This window comes from Homo sapiens, chromosome 10 (assembly GCF_000001405.40).
Source record: "Homo sapiens chromosome 10, GRCh38.p14 Primary Assembly".
Classification (NCBI taxonomy): domain Eukaryota; kingdom Metazoa; phylum Chordata; class Mammalia; order Primates; family Hominidae; genus Homo; species Homo sapiens.
This window is the reverse complement of record NC_000010.11, coordinates 124,365,359-124,380,546: the sequence shown is the minus strand read 5'-3', so window position 1 is coordinate 124,380,546 and position 15,188 is coordinate 124,365,359. Positions and strand designations below refer to the sequence as shown.

Sequence of the window (15,188 nt, the reverse complement as noted above, 5' to 3'; positions counted from 1 at the left end):
AGGACCATGGAGGGGATAGAGAGTTGGGAGGAGCAGAGAGGAGTTGGGGAGTCAGGAGGAGCATGGAGGAGATGGGGAGTTGGGAGGAGCACAGAGGAGATGAGGAGTCAGGGGAGGAGCATGGAGGAGATGAGGATTCAGGGGAGGAGCTGGGGAGTCGGGAGGAGCACGGAGGAGCTGCGGAGTCAGGAGAGGAGCATGGAGGAGATAGGGAAGAGCTAGGGAGTCGGGAGGATCACAGAGGAGATGGGAAGGGGCTGAGGAGTCAGAGGAGGAACGTGGAAGAGCTGGAGAGTTAGGGGAGGAGCACGGAGGAGCTGAGGAGTCAGGAGAGGAGCACCGAGGAGATGGGGAGGATCTGGGAAGTCGGGAGGAGCACAGAGGACACAGGGAGTCAGGGGAGGAGCATGGAGGAGATGGGGAAGAGCTGGGGAGTCAGGGGAGGCTCACGGAGAAGATGGGGAGTCAGGAGAAGAGCACAGAGGAGGTGGGGAAGAGCTGGGGAGTCAGGGGAGGAGCAGGGGAGTCGGGAGGAGCAGGGAGGAGGTGCCATTAAATCAGGCCTTGCAGCCTGGGAGGAGTGTGACCCTCAAGGGAAAGGGAGTCAGGCCCAGGGGTTGGTGGTGGGACATGGCTGCTTCTGCTTGGCTGCAGAGTGGGCAGAGTAGATTGAAGGGAGCCAGCCAGGCAAAATTCCCCGGGACCTCAACCTTTGAGGACACAACAGCACCACAGAAAATAAGCCGAATTGGCAAAATGTAAAAAGACCCCGCCCCCATCACCGTGCAAGGCTCTGGGAAGTGGAGAGAAATCAACAGCCTCTCAAAGTGCCTCAATGGCAGTTGCCGGGCTGGAAAGCCCCATGTCATCAAGCCTTTACCCTCCACACAGTGGAGGCAGCACTGGTTCCTTCCTGCAATCGACAAATACGTTTGAACAAATAGATGAAGAATATCAGTTGGAAGGTACCCAATTATAAACCTTCCTGGATACCTGCTGTGAATCTGGCTCTTAGAGTGGGGCACGTGCACTGAGCTATGGGAAACCCCTTTGGTCCCCAAGCCGAGGGCCAGGAGGCACTGGATGGCCACCTGCCACTCATCTGCACTCCTGCAGTGAGGGGGCTGGGCAGGCCCTCCACGGCCTGTGCTGTGGAACTGAATGGACTGGGGGAGAAGCTGGATCCACTATGGGCCGTCCTGGCTGGCACCAGCGGCCCCTGGGGCAAGCCTGTTGCTCCCTGCAAGGCCTTCTCAGCAGCAGGGAATCTCCTCCCTCTTCAACAGTCTTTTCACTGGACTAGGACTCCTGCCACCCTTGGAAAGGCCAGGGAGGGGATTGTACACACAGCGCCTGGGATTTTTGATACTTAAAGGGGGCGAGACACTCCCCCCTCACCGTTCTTGGCAAATGCCTCCTGAATGAGGGATGCCTGCCTGCCAGCTCCCCACGCTGAGATCTCTGCTGACAATCGGGAACAGCCAGCGGGAGGCTAGAGATTGATGACTAAACCTCTTGGAAGTTTCAAGCCTCAGGTACGCCCTCGGTGTCAGAAAGGCCAAGAGAAGCAGCCTCGTTGGTTGCCTACGGAATACCTCCGGGTGCCAATGGGCGGGCCTTGCCCAGCTCAGACTCCCTCGGCTGTGGCTTTGCCCATCAAGTAGATCTGCTTGGAGTGAACTAGGGGCTGAAGGAAAATTGATATAAAAGTAATACATGTTCCTTGAAAACCTCTTAATAATAGAAAAATACACAGAAGGAGGGTAGAATCATCCATAATCCCGTCTGGCAGATAGAGCTCCTGAAGATGGCTTGCAGCTTTCTTTCCGGGCCTTCTGTCCATATCCTTGCATAACTATCCTTCCAAAATTGGGCACTGTGGGCACCATGGAGTCTGGGAGGACTGAAGTTAACTTACCTTCCATGGTTACTTGAAGGGTAACATTCTTGGCCACCCTTGGCTCTGCAGATGTCGAGCAGACAGGCCCTCATGCTGCGTGGGTGGGCAGGTGTACTGTCCACCTGCCCCTGGTGAGCCTGGGTGGGCCAAGAGGGGCGTCAGCACCACTGGCCACACCCAGCATCTTCTTTGCATCTGTCCTGACCCTTTTCCATCTGACCTCGTCTACATAACCTTCTTCCTTCTTGGACTCAGGCCTCCTCCATCCCTCCTCACTGCATTCTCCCTCCCGTGAAGGCTGATTCTTTCCCCAAATGGCATCTGCGTTTCCACGCCACCAGGTTTGCAATAAACATTCTGGGGCTAGGCTGTGTTGGGCGGGCAGGAGTTGGCAGTCTTCAAGAGGACAAGCCCAGTGCCCAGTTATTCTTCCCTTCCCCTGCCCTCTGCATCCCCTCCCTCCCTCCCTCCCTTCCTTCCTCCCTCCCTCCCTCCCTCCCTCTCTTTCTCTCTTTCCTTTCTTCCTTTTTGAGACAGAGATCTTGCTATGTTGCCCAGGCTGGTCTCGAACTCCTGGCCTCAAGTGATCCTCCTGCCTCAGCCTCCTGAGTAGGTGGAATTACAAGTGTGCACCTGGCTCCCCACACCATCTCTGAATCACATTCACTGGGTGCTGAAGTGCTAGGTTCCAGAATGGTCCTCGCCATCATCAGCATTCCACTTCATCCTCCCGGGATCCCAAGGCAGGCACTGCCATTAGCACCGCTGTGTACGTGTGGCCCAGCAAGTTTGCCCAACATTGTCCTCCCGCGCTGAGAGGGCACTGCCACAAGCACTCTGTGCTGGACGTTTGCCATGCAGCATTGTATCTAAGTCTCACAACAGCCTTGAGAAGGAAGCATTATGAGGCCCATTTCACATGTGTGCAAATGGAAGCCTGGGAGCCAAGTCAGCGCTGGCCACACAAAGGTGACGAGGCACAGTCCCAGCCCTGGGGGAGCTCATGGTCCACCAACGGCATTCTTCCTGACTCTAGGGGACTCTCCGACCACTTCTGCAAAGAAGCAGGACAGGGCTGGGTGCTCCCACTGCCATCTTCTTTCCCCACCTCCCTTTATTCATTTTCTAAACCATCAATCCCCAGAGCAGGTGCTGGACCTGCAGCCGGTGCCCATAAACACTCAGCTGATTTAAGGGGGAACAAGGTGGGTGCTGTGCTGGAAGAAGGGGGAGAGAAGAGTTGAGAAAAGGGCACGAGGAAGGTGGTCTCGAGGACTGGAGTGCTACCCCCATGCGGTCTTCACTCCAAAAGATGGCACAGTGTGGGGGGCCTACTTGGTGCCAACAGCCGGGCTACCTCCGAGACAAAGCCTGGCACCCGAGAGGAAGGGGAGCTACTGGCAGGGAACCCCATGCACTCTTGTCCCTTGGAGACCCCAGAAGATCTCAAAGAAAGGGGCAGAGCCACAGTCTTCCAAGGCTTCTGTAGGGTCTTTCGTGCATGAGAGAAAACTCAGGCACAACCTCTGTGAACAACCCCTACAGGGACTCAGGGGCTGGGAGAGACACCAACTGCCACCCCTTGGAGGTTGTGCCCAGAGGTGGGGGCTGAAGACCCACTGGCTCTTTGAAGTGGAATTTTCAAAAAATTTCTTTATACTGAAGTTCACAAATCTGTAATCTCGCCTGGGATAATGGGGTAGGGGTCAGGGCAGGAGAGGATCCTAGTTCTTGAGACTCCATCGGGCTTTGTCTGCCACTGGCGGGCACTCTCGGGAGGATTTGAATGGTGAATGGGCCAAGGGGATGGAGGCCTCAAACGGACTTGACTTCCGCCCACCTGCAGAAGGAGGCTGATGGCTCTGATGGCTCTATAATAACAAGCCTTTCTCCTGTCCAAAAACCTGCAGGAATGACTGTGGGGAAATGACAGCATTTCCCCCAGCTCCTTACCCCATCCTCTACCTTCCGTCCGGCTTGTGTACTGTCATCTGGAAGGAGGAAAAGATGTGATGTGATGTCTTTATTAACATCACCTTTGGGAGAAGCGGGGGAAGCCCGGGGTGCTGGGAGGAACTAACTTGGCCACACAGAACCCGAGTGGAGGGGCTCTAAGGGCACCGGAAGGCAAGGTGGTCTTACAGCAGTGTCAGACCTAGGGAGCGGACGGATGTGCTGCCGGTGTGAGTGTCTGTGGAGAAAGGACTCTGTTCCCTCATTTGCTGAGGTTCACCCACCTGGGTCATGGTACTCGACCCCCTCTTCCCATCTCCAGGAAGTCTCTGTCCCAGACACCATCTTTATTTTTTTTATTTTTATTTTTTGAGACGGAGTTTCTCTTGTAGCCCAGGCTGGAGTGCAATGGCGCGATCCCGGCTTACTGCAACCTCTGCCTCCTGGGTTCAAGTGATTCTCCTGCCTCAGCCTCCTGAGTAGCTGGGATTACAGGCACCAGCCACTACACCCAGCTAATTTTTGTATTTTTAGTAGAGATGGGGTTTTACCACTTTTGGCCAGGCTGGTCTCAAAGTCCAGACCTCAGGTGACCTGCCCGCCTCGGCCTCCCAAAGTGCTGGGATTACAGGCATAAGCCACCACGCCCGGCCCCCAGACACCATCTTTAAAGCTCCCTGGAACCAAGTAGCACTGGCTTGGTCACACCTGGCCCCAGTCCCCAGGTATTTGCTGACAGACCGCTGGGCCTAGCACTTTGAGGGGATATGGAAGGGCGAGCGATACATAGGTCCACAAGAGCCGTCTTTGGGCTAGACCATGCGACGTGCAGGGTCTCCTGTTCTCCTGTTCAGCTGGAAGGTGCCCCGAGGCTCAGGCAGGGACAATGGGGTGGGGTTGGGGGAGCTCATACAGACCCCACTGTGGACCAAAGGTCTGCGGGGCCACTCCACACACAGCTGCTTGGGACCTACATGGACCTGCATGAGGATAGCCTCTTTAGCTACAGTCAGATCCCAGGGCAGCTCCAGTTGGTGGAGCTCTGCTTCCTGGCATGGTCTTTAGACAACCCAAGACATTGGGGTGCCACTGGTTTCACATGGAGCAGCAGAGCGGGCGCAGAGGACATGCTCCCACGTGCCTTAGCCCATGTCCCCTCAGGGACAGGCATGCCCCTTCCTGCCCCCACCCCCCTGAGAGTGCAATTCCTCCATCAACAGGGAAACCCAGCAGGGGTGAGGCTTGGCCCAGCATAAGGGAGGCCCCAGGTGTGCGGCTGTCCAGGTGGGCCCCAGACCAGATGGGAACCGCAGGCTCTCCCAAGCACCAGCCTTCTGTGGTGATGAGCATGCTGGCCCAGCCACCTGCGGCTATCCCTGGGAGTCATGTGGACGCTGCACTGTCCAAGAGAAGTGTGCCCCCAACCTGCTCAGTGTGGGGGGCCGGGGAAAGAGCAACTCATTGAAAATGGATTGAAGAGAGGATGCAGAGGGTGGGAGAGAAGTGAACACAACCTGTCCTTCCGCAGGTGACAGCACCCAGACTCACTGTCCTGGTCTGAGGTTTCTGCACCCCCGTCCTTTCTGATATAGTTGCTGAAACCCCTGAAGGCCTTTCTCCATCTCCCTCAGTCCCGAGGGAGCGCTCAGTGAACTCTGCCTGATTAACATCTGCTCTTCCTTTTGTTGCCCTGACCTTGCCCACGAAGGGACGTGACAACGCCATTGAAGGAACAGTAAACAAGTACCCAGGCTGCTGCCCTGTTGTCCGAGGGGTTAATTTGCTTCTCAAAGACTCCCTAGTAGGAGACGCACCATTCATAGGTCCGTGCAACTATGCTTTGCTGAGAAAGATCCTCCATGGAAATAACCCTGATGTTATTAAGGTGTAAGCTGCATGATCTAGGATCCAAAATAATTTAGAATGTGCTTCTACTGGGATATCTCATGGTATTACACAGGAAGTGTCCAGGCACCAGCTGGGGGAATTATTTTCAGGTAGAACTCCCAGTAGGAAGTGATCCCTCTCTCCCAAGAAGGTTTCAGGCAGAACAGCATAGGATTTAGGCAGACAAACCTAGTGCACACCTTGCTTTCCCTCTTTCTAGATGTGCTGTCTTCGGCAAGTTGCAAACCTTCTTTGAGCCTCAGCTTCTTCATCTTTAAAACTGGACAATAATGTTATCCATGCAATTGGCTGTTGTAAATGGGTGCTTACAACAGTACCTAGCCCACAGCACTAAATGAGTGGTAGCCGTGGAAGAATTTCTGGCAGTGAAGATTGGTTGACAGTGGAATGATGCATTTAAAAAAGGGTGCAGATGCTCTTTCAAAACTGAGCATCTCCAAAGGTATCAAGAGCTCTAAAGACATCCATGACCTACCTAGTCATTCCATGTTTAGAAATCCATCCCAGGAAAGTAATTTACAATACAGTCAAAGACTTGTACACAAACATGATTTAACAGCACGACTTCTAAAGTGGGAAATGGGAAACAAATTTAATGTCCAACAGTAGAGGATGGCTAAAAAGAGTTATGAGAAATCCTCATTTTGGATTGTTAGACATGACAAATCAGGCCTTCAAAGAATATTGATGATATGGAAAAACGACCACAACACAGTGTGAAGTAGAATACAAAATTGTGTGTAGCCAGGGCCCCAGACTGAATCTAAGCTTTATCTAGCCCTGAGATTGAGGCCTGGGCATGCCTGGCAGGCTGGGGGCACTCCTGGCAGCCACCTGGAGTCTACTCGCATCCTCATGTGTCCTGGAAAAGAAAACCTGGCAGATTCTACCCTGGGATCCATGCTCAGCAACTCTGTGTTTTCTCACTGAATCCTGCTCAGAGACTCGATGGAGATGAAGAACCCAGTTTACACCAGCTGAAGGGAAAAGAAAACTGACTGGCTGATTTTCATGCAACTTCAAGCCCAGCTGGACCCAGGAGCTGGAAGGTGTCATCAGAACCCCCTGTCCCCAGCTGGCATTTAGAGACTGGGTCACCCCAAGAGGCACTCTCCACATCATGGCAGAGATAGCTGCCTGCAACCAGGATGCACCTCAACCTTCACACCCACTCCACCCGAAACAGTTGGTCCTGTTTAACCAGAAACATCCTGGGGACACTTAGATGAGCCTCTTGGAGACCCATCCCCATCCCTGAATGAGTCACGAGTGAATTCACCCCAAGAAAGAACAGGCCCTATCACTAGGAAGGAAGGAAGCATTTTTGGGGAGAAAACAAATCCTGAGGTTGATCACAAATCCTCAGTATTATTATTCTCATTTCACAGATAAAAGTTCAGAGAAGTTGAGGAGGGGAGAGAAAAAAACAGGAAAAAAAGTCGGAGAGGCTAAATAATTCGCCCAAGAGCCCCCAAAGAGCCAGGATCTTAACCCATGACTGTGGCCGCTGAAGCCTATACTCAAAACCACTCTCTCACTTTGCTGATGGGAAAGAGGAGAGAGCCAGCAGCCCAGCCTTGAAAGTGGGAGGTCACCTCGAGACCAGTTCCTGGCTCACTCCAAAGCTTCCCACCAGAATCCTAGAGGAGCTGCAAGCAAAAGTGGGAAGAGCTGTGTGCACGAAATTGCATGCCAATCAAGGAGCATAGCTGCAAGCAGCTGCGGCTAATTTCTGCTCATTAAAGCAAACCAGAAATGTACTAAGGGATATCAGGCAGCTCACAGGATCTCTGCATAGGTTGGACAACAAGGTTTGAAGGCTATGTAGCCTGGAAATAATGTTCAAAATCACTTTGCAGGACCAGGGGAGATACCCTGAGACCTCTGATGGGTACTGACACCCTTATGTGCTGCTGACTCCACCAGTGTAAGGACTGGCCATCACTGCTTCAACCCATTTCTGGAAGCCTCTAGAACTGACAGTGGGTATCTCTGCTACCCCAACACCCCCAACCTGGCATCCACACAGTGACAGACTTTTTGTTACTGGCTCTCACATGCATCTAATTGGCAGAACCCTTATCAAATGTCTGTTTCCCTGGCTGCAAGGGAGGCTGTGAAGGTAGGTTTCTGGCATTTTCAGGCTTTATAATGGGTTGGGGTTTCTCCCTTCCTCTGATACATGAAGTGGGGAAGGGGTATATCAGGATGCTGGGTGGCCAAAGAGAATGACATGTGTCACTCAAGTCTCAGTTGGAGGAGAAGAACCATTAGAGTGTGTGCGTGTTAATATGTATATGGAGTATTAATTTCCTAGGGGTGCTGCACAAACTGGGTGGCTTTGAGTAACAAGCCCAGGGCCATGCTCTCCCCGGCTTCTGGTACTTGCTGGCAGTGCTCAGCATTTGTGGTCTTGCAGCTATGCCACTCTCATCTCTGTCTCTGTCTTCCCACTGTGACTGTGCCTTCATGGGGCATGCTCCTCTGTGTATGTGTCTGTGTCTTTTCTCCTCTTCAAATCAGGACACCAGTCATATTGGATTTAGGGCTCATCCCAATCACAGGATCCTAACTTACAACTTATCTACATGTAAAGACCTTGTTTAGTCTGTTCTCACACTGCTATAAGGACATAAACTGAGACTGGGAAAGGAAAGAGGTTTAGTGGACTCACAGTTTCACATGGCTCTATGTCCTTACAGAAATATATAGGCCATGGAAGGAATCAGAGCCAAGCAGACCCTGCCTCATCAAACTGCCCACACAACAGAAAACAGAGTCCAGTTGGACATTCCTGAACCCTGGGAGGCCATCAGCACTGGGGCCTCACAATCATGGCAGAAGGTGAAGGAGGAGCAAAGGCATGTCTTACATGGTGGCAGGCAAGAGAGAAGTGCAGGGGAACTGCCCTTCACAAAACCGTCAGATCTTGAGACTTATTCACTATCAAGAGAAGAGCACAGGAAAAACCCGCCCCCCACGATTCAATTACCTCCCACTGGGTCCCTCCCACGACACGTGGGGATTATGGGAGCTACAATTCAAGTCGAGATTTGGGTGGGGACACAGCCAAACCATATCAGACATTAACCCTTAATTACTGCAAAGACCCTATCTCCAAATAGGTCACATTCACAAGTACCGGGGTCAGGACTTGACACATCTTTCTGTGGGACATGATTCAACCCCCATCACCCTCTCTGCTTTTCCATCTTCCCTGTGCTTCCTGGGCTGCCTCCCAAATAAACTACCTGCATCCAAGTTCTTAGCTCTGGTTGTCTTCGGGGGAACCCGAACTAAGACAGAGGGCAAAGATTCCAAAGAAAACAAAGAAGAGGGAGCAAAGCCCAGGGATGAGGAGAGTTAGGAATCAAGTTTCCTTTGGCCATTGGTGAAGAAACAAGTTCAAGTTTGGGGGGACTTCCAGGAGATGGAGGAGCAAGGAGGAGCTGGAGAGCCTCAAGCAGAAAGGAGCTTCCATTTTCAGAATCTGGGGTAGAGGAAGCAGGGAGTGGGGAGAGCTGGGGAAGCTCTGGCTTGGGCTGGGGCCACATCTGTGAGGAGGTGAGCAGAGAGAGGTGGAGCTAGTCCTGAGCCTGGGGACCTGGGTAGGGAAGCCCAGACCTTCAGGTTGGGTCACGTACCCCAGCTGATTCTGGCTGTGGCTGGGGAAACTGAGGCCCAGAAACGGCCTTGGCTCACAGCAGGGACTGGAATCCTCATCTTGATACTTCCCGTTTTCGCTTTGCCCCCCGCTGCACTGAGGGGCTTCCCTGGCAGGGGTGTCAGTATGCGGGCAGGTCTGTCGAGGCTCTGCTTACCAAGTCCACCTGTGCTTGGACCCTGGTGGAGAAGGACAAACCCTATGGTCAAGCACTGACAGTCTCCCCTGGTTTGGGAACATCCACGTGGACTCCGTTTTCTGTTGTGTGCGCAGTTTGATGAGGAAGCGTCTGCTTGCCTCTGATTCCTTCCACAGCCTATACAATTTCCGTCAGGTTTATTAATATAAGAGGGCAGCATCCTGTGTGCACAGATGACTTGTTATATTCACAGCTCTTGGGATGCTCCCTGCCCCGCAGCCTCGAACCCTCGATCCTGTCAAAGCCTGGAGCCCTTGGCTGCCCTGCCTGGCCAGTGTGGCTCCTTTCCCTGAGCTGTGATTTCAGCCTGGCCCTGGCCAGTGGCAGAGTCCATGGGCACATGGGGTGATTTGGTGGTGGGCAGCGGCCTCCACCTGAATAGGGCTGGTTTTGTCAGAAAACACCTTAAAATCACTCTCCGAGAAGAAAATATGTTTGATTTGGGGGCAGCAGGAAGAGTCTGGTGTCGTTTACAGTAGTTATATAGTTTTCAGCTCCTACTCTTTAAACCCTCTGCAGGAAGTAGAACAGAATTATCTGAAGCCTCTTTTCTGTTCTGCAAGAGTAGAATTTGTAATCATTTTGCCCGGACCAAAGCAGACACTTCTGTGAAATCCGCAGAGTTCACAGTTGTGGATGGAATTGCTCCCAAATGAATGGGTGTTTGAGCCACTCTATGAGTTCATTGTGGCTTCCATGGCAAATTACCACAAAGTTGGTGATGTAACACAACACAGATTAATTATCTTATAGCTCTGGAGGTCAGAAGTCCAAATCTGTCTCACCGGACTAACATCAAGGTATCAGAGGGCTGGTTCCTTCTAGAGGCTCGAGGAGACAGTCTGTTTCCTGCCTTTTCCAGCTTCCAGAGGCTGCCCTGGCCTTGGCCCCTGGCCTCTTCCTGTGTCCTCAAAGAGCATCTCTCTGGCCTCTGCTCCTGTGGTCGTATCTCCTTCTCTGCCTCTGAGCCCCAACTCTTCTCTCTTATAAGGACCCCTGTGATCACATTGGGCCCCTGAATAATAATCCAGGATAATCTTCCATGTCAAGATCCTTAATGTAATCACACCTGTGAAGTCCCTTTTACCATATAAGGACACTGTATTAGTCTGGTCTCATGCTGCTAATAAAGACATACCTGAAACTGGGTAATTTATAAAGGAAAGAGGCTTAATGGATTCACAGCTCCACGTGGTTGGGGAGGCCTCATGATCATGGCAGAAGGCAAATGAGGCGCAAAGGACACATCTTACATGACAGCCGACAAGAGAGCTTGTGCAGGGGAACTCCCCTTTATAAAACCATCAGATCTCATGAGACTTATTCACTATCACGAGAACAGCATGGGAAAGACCCACCTCCATGATGCAGTTACCTCCCACCAGGTCCTTCCCAGGACATGTGGGAATTATGGGAGCTACAATTCAAGATGAGATTTGGGTGAGGACACAGCCGAACTATATCGGTCACATAGGCTCAGTTCCAGGCATTAGGACTGGGCATTTTTGGGGGCCATTATTTGGATACCACTGCCAGCAAAGCCCTTCCCCTGGCTCAGCCTCTCCAATCCCCCTCACTGCCCTGGGAAGTGGAGGGAAAGGGTCTGCGTCCCCATTTCATGGAGATGTCCAGAGGTTGTAAAGTGAGTGTCAGAGCTCAGTGGAACCAGGGTGTCCCTATTCCAAGTCCAAAGCTGTTTCTGCCAGCTCACACAAACCCACCCTGTCGACAGGCTCCTGCCCAGTGACCAGGCATGTGGTCACTGGCTGCCAATGAGGCCCATGTTTTAGACCTGGTGCCACTATCTGCCTAAGGTTGCACCGTCAGTAAGTTTCTTAACCTCCCTGTGTCTCAGCTTTCTATAGATATCAACATTCTTCTCTCATAGGTTATTTGTGAGGGAAAAACATAATTCTCTAAACCACTTAATAAATGTTGGATATGTAGTAGCTGTCACTGTTATTAATAACAATAGGGCAGGCTCATGCCTGTAATCCCAGCACTTTGGGAGGCCAAAGCAGGAGGACTGCTTGAGCCCAGGAGTTTGAGACCACCCTGGGCAACATAACTGGGTTGGAACTGCATCAACAGGAGGGCTCATCTCGCTACACTGGACCCTGGTTATGGCCACTTTGATGAGCAAAAACCAGGACAACAGATTAATTGCTCTGTGATGAAGTGCACAGGCTGATGGGAACAGCGGGGCAGTCTTGGGGAGCCCAAGATATTCCCAGGGTGCTTGGTGCTACTGGGGGCAGTGACTCAGGGACCTGGCCCCCAGTGCTTTAGTGTCTACTGTGGCTATGTTTGAAATTGATGTTGGTGTTGGTGGTGGGTGTCCCAGGCCTGGGAATCTGGTTCCAGTGTGTCTCCGCCCCCTCCCCACCTCTATGAAGGTGAAGGCCCCCCAGGGTTAAGCCCAACTGGCTGCGTTTTAACAGGGTTGGGGAGGGGCCATCCCTGCACCATGGGGTGAATGGCCCCTCAGTTCTCCTGCCTTTCTGGCCTTGATCACTGGGCCCTTGTGCTGACCTGACTCTGTGCCCTGATTGTCTGGGCAGCCAGCTCCTTCAACCAAGTGCTGTCCTGAGGTTGTCTCGGGTCCATAAATGCCTTGTTAAAATCGCTGGGAACAAGAATACTTTATGTTGCTGGCGACTCCAGCCCAGGCCGTTAAGTCTGTCCCGACACAGGCTGGGGCTCCCGCGGCCCAGCTCCGGGGCTTTGTGTAGTCCCGAGGCTAAGCCCTTTGCAAGCCCCTAATTAGGGCTCCCGTGTCTCTGCCCCAGGCTGTGGTCCTCGGGGAGACCTCCCCTGGCCCGGCCTGCTGGGCTTGGCCCTGGAGTCAAGCAGTGCTGTCTCGGGCTTCCAGGGCTGGGCGGGGGCTTCTGGTTTACACTGTTCAGTACCTTCCACCCCTTCCTGTGCAGATTTCCTCCGTCAGCCTCGTGTCCCTTGATTCCTGTCCTCGGAAGCGACATTCTCCCACTGGGTGCTGCTTTTCTCCCTGTTTCACCATCTTCCTTGGCCTCATTCCCAGCTCAAATAAAGCCCTAATTCCCAGTAAGGAGGGGCTTTGACCATGACACAGGGCAGGCCATGGAGGGCCTGGCAGGTGGGACTGGACTTCTGATGCCCTCACACTGGAGGACAGGGGTGCGCTGGGTAGGAGTGTCCATGGGCAGTGAAGAGGGGAACTCAGGATCTTTCTCCTCTCAGGCGGATCCAGGCATTGGAGCGGGGGAAGGAGGTGGGCATGGAGGGGAAGGAGGTGGGCATGGAGGCATTGGAGGGGGGGAAGGAGGTGGGCATGGAGGGCATGGAGGGGAAGGAGGTGGGCATGGAGGCATGGAGGAGAGTTCAGACCCTGTTGCTGAGGTCTGGAGTCCAGCAGGAGCCCTCTGCTTTCCAGCTGTGTGACCCTGGCCAGTCCTGGCCCTCTCTGAGCCTGTTTCCTGATCTTGACTTAGGAAAATGACAAAAAGCTCTGTGTCGCTTGCTTCACTGGGCTGCTCCAGGGGCCGCTTCACAGTGTGTGACCTGTGCAGGCAGCACACAGGGCCCCGGCCTCAAGTTTCCTGCATTTGGGTTCATTCTGTCCAGTTGCTGTCCTGAAATGCTCGGTCATTTGGAAGAAGGGCCTGTGTTTTCATTTTGCATGGGGCCCCGTGAATTACGTAGCCAGTCTTGGCCAAGGGATGGCGGGGGGCTTGCTGGGTGGAAGGCTAGGGTGTCTGGGGGAGGCTGGGTGGTTGCAGTGGGGCCAGGCCTGGGCAGTCATGCCGAGTGTGTACGGGGTGGGCTGCAGCCGGCACAGGGCCCAGCACCACTGTAAGGGCTTTGACTTTTACTCTGAGGGAAGCAGGAAACCACAGGAAGGTCTGAGCAGAAACCCCTGACTTACTCTCTGGCCCAGAGCACTGCAGGATCCACCTGGCTGTCACGTGAAGAGGAGACTCCAAGGGCAGAGGCAGGGAGGTCGTTGGGAGGCTGCTGAGGAGCTCAGAGAAAGACGCTGGGGGCTTAGGCTTGCTGGGAGCTGGGATGGTGGTGGGAAGGGGGTTTTGGGATACACTTTCAAGGTGGAGCCAACAGGACTTGTAATGAATTAGGTGTCATGCAGATTTCCAACTGGAAGGCTGGCTGGATGGAGTTGTCATCCACTGGGGGAAGGCTGTGGAGGAGCATGTCTGGGGGAAAGATCAGGAGCTTGATTTTGAAAGGCTGGTATGAGACGTCCTGGTAAGAAGCTCCTCAGAACACCGTTGACAATTCCACCCCTCCCAACCCTTCCTCTCCCTGCTCCTTGAATTAGGAATGGTCTCCTAACTTGCTTTGCTTGATAGAGTGTGGAGGGAGGAGCCAGGCGTGATGGCACACGTCTATAGTCCTAGCTACTCAGCTACTGCGGCAGGAGGATTGCTTGTGTCTAGGAGTTTCAGTAGTGAGCTATGATTGTGCCACTGCACTCCAGCCTGGGTGACAGAGCAAGACCCTGCCTCAAAAAATAAAATAAAATAAAATAAAATAAAGAAAAAGAAAAGAAAAAACAGAGAATGTGGAGTAAATGAAGCTGTGCCAATTCCTGGTCTCACCTTGAACTCGAAGAGGCTTAGCAGTGTCCCCTCTTGCTTTCTTGGAAACCAGCTGCCATGCTGTAAGGAAGCTGAGGCAGACTGTGGGAGGAGGAGAAGCCACGTGGAGGAGAGCTGAGACCAACAGACAATCAGCACCAACTAACACGCAGGAGAGAAAGAGCTTCTAGTTCCAGCTGAGTTTCCAGAGAATGCAGCTGTGGGAGCCACTCTAGCCAACATCATACAGAGCAGAAGAACCATCCAGATGAGCTCCTGACCAACAGAATCACGAGAAACAATACATCACTCTTTTGGGACTCTAAGTTTTGGGGAGTTTGTTATGCAGTGATGGATTACCCCCATAGATGTCTGTTAGACATCCAAGCAGAAATACATCAAGCAGGAAACTGGATACGTGAGCCTGAGATTCAGGAGATCAATTCAATCGATTTGGGAGTTTCCAACATATAGATGACATTAAGCCTTGCAACTGAGTGAGATTAACAAGGTTGAGTGTGGACAGAGAAGAGAGGACCAGGGACTGAGTGCCAGGGCTCTTGGGTCTTTAAGTGGTCAGGGGATGAGGAGGAGCTGGTGTAGGGGAGAGCTGGGCCGTGCTGAGGCCGGGGGCCCTGGGCACACCTGTGCTGGCCTCTCCATGCCAAGCTGACCATACCTGGCATCCAGTCTCCCTCTCACTGCCTTTGCTCGTGATGGGTTTTCTGATTTATTCTTGCTTCTGTCTCAGACGAACACAAACACCAGCAGCTGAGAATGCCAGCTGTCCTCTAAGCCACATCCCTTCCCATCTTCTCTGAGTTGGGGTCCCAGCACCCTCATTCATCCTCACCCCATCGCAGCGCAGAGTTTGCTGATGATTCTGTGTCTCAAGCTTGAGGTTGAATCCCGAGTCCTCTGTTGGCCCCACTGCGGGTGGGAGGAGTTCAGTTCCCTGCAAGGAGCTGGGCTCCCTCACTAGGAACACTG

The 15,188-nt window shown here is 52.9% G+C and overlaps 1 annotated feature.

The window, feature by feature from the left end:
• Positions 514-1,231: an enhancer, noted in NCBI's record as "H3K4me1 hESC enhancer chr10:126067885-126068602 (GRCh37/hg19 assembly coordinates)". NCBI's record gives its function as "activates a minimal SCP1, AML or CMV promoter by ChIP-STARR-seq in naive H9 embryonic stem cells {active_cell/tissue: H9 hESC(naive)}" and the evidence as "EXISTENCE:reporter gene assay evidence [ECO:0000049][PMID:30033119]".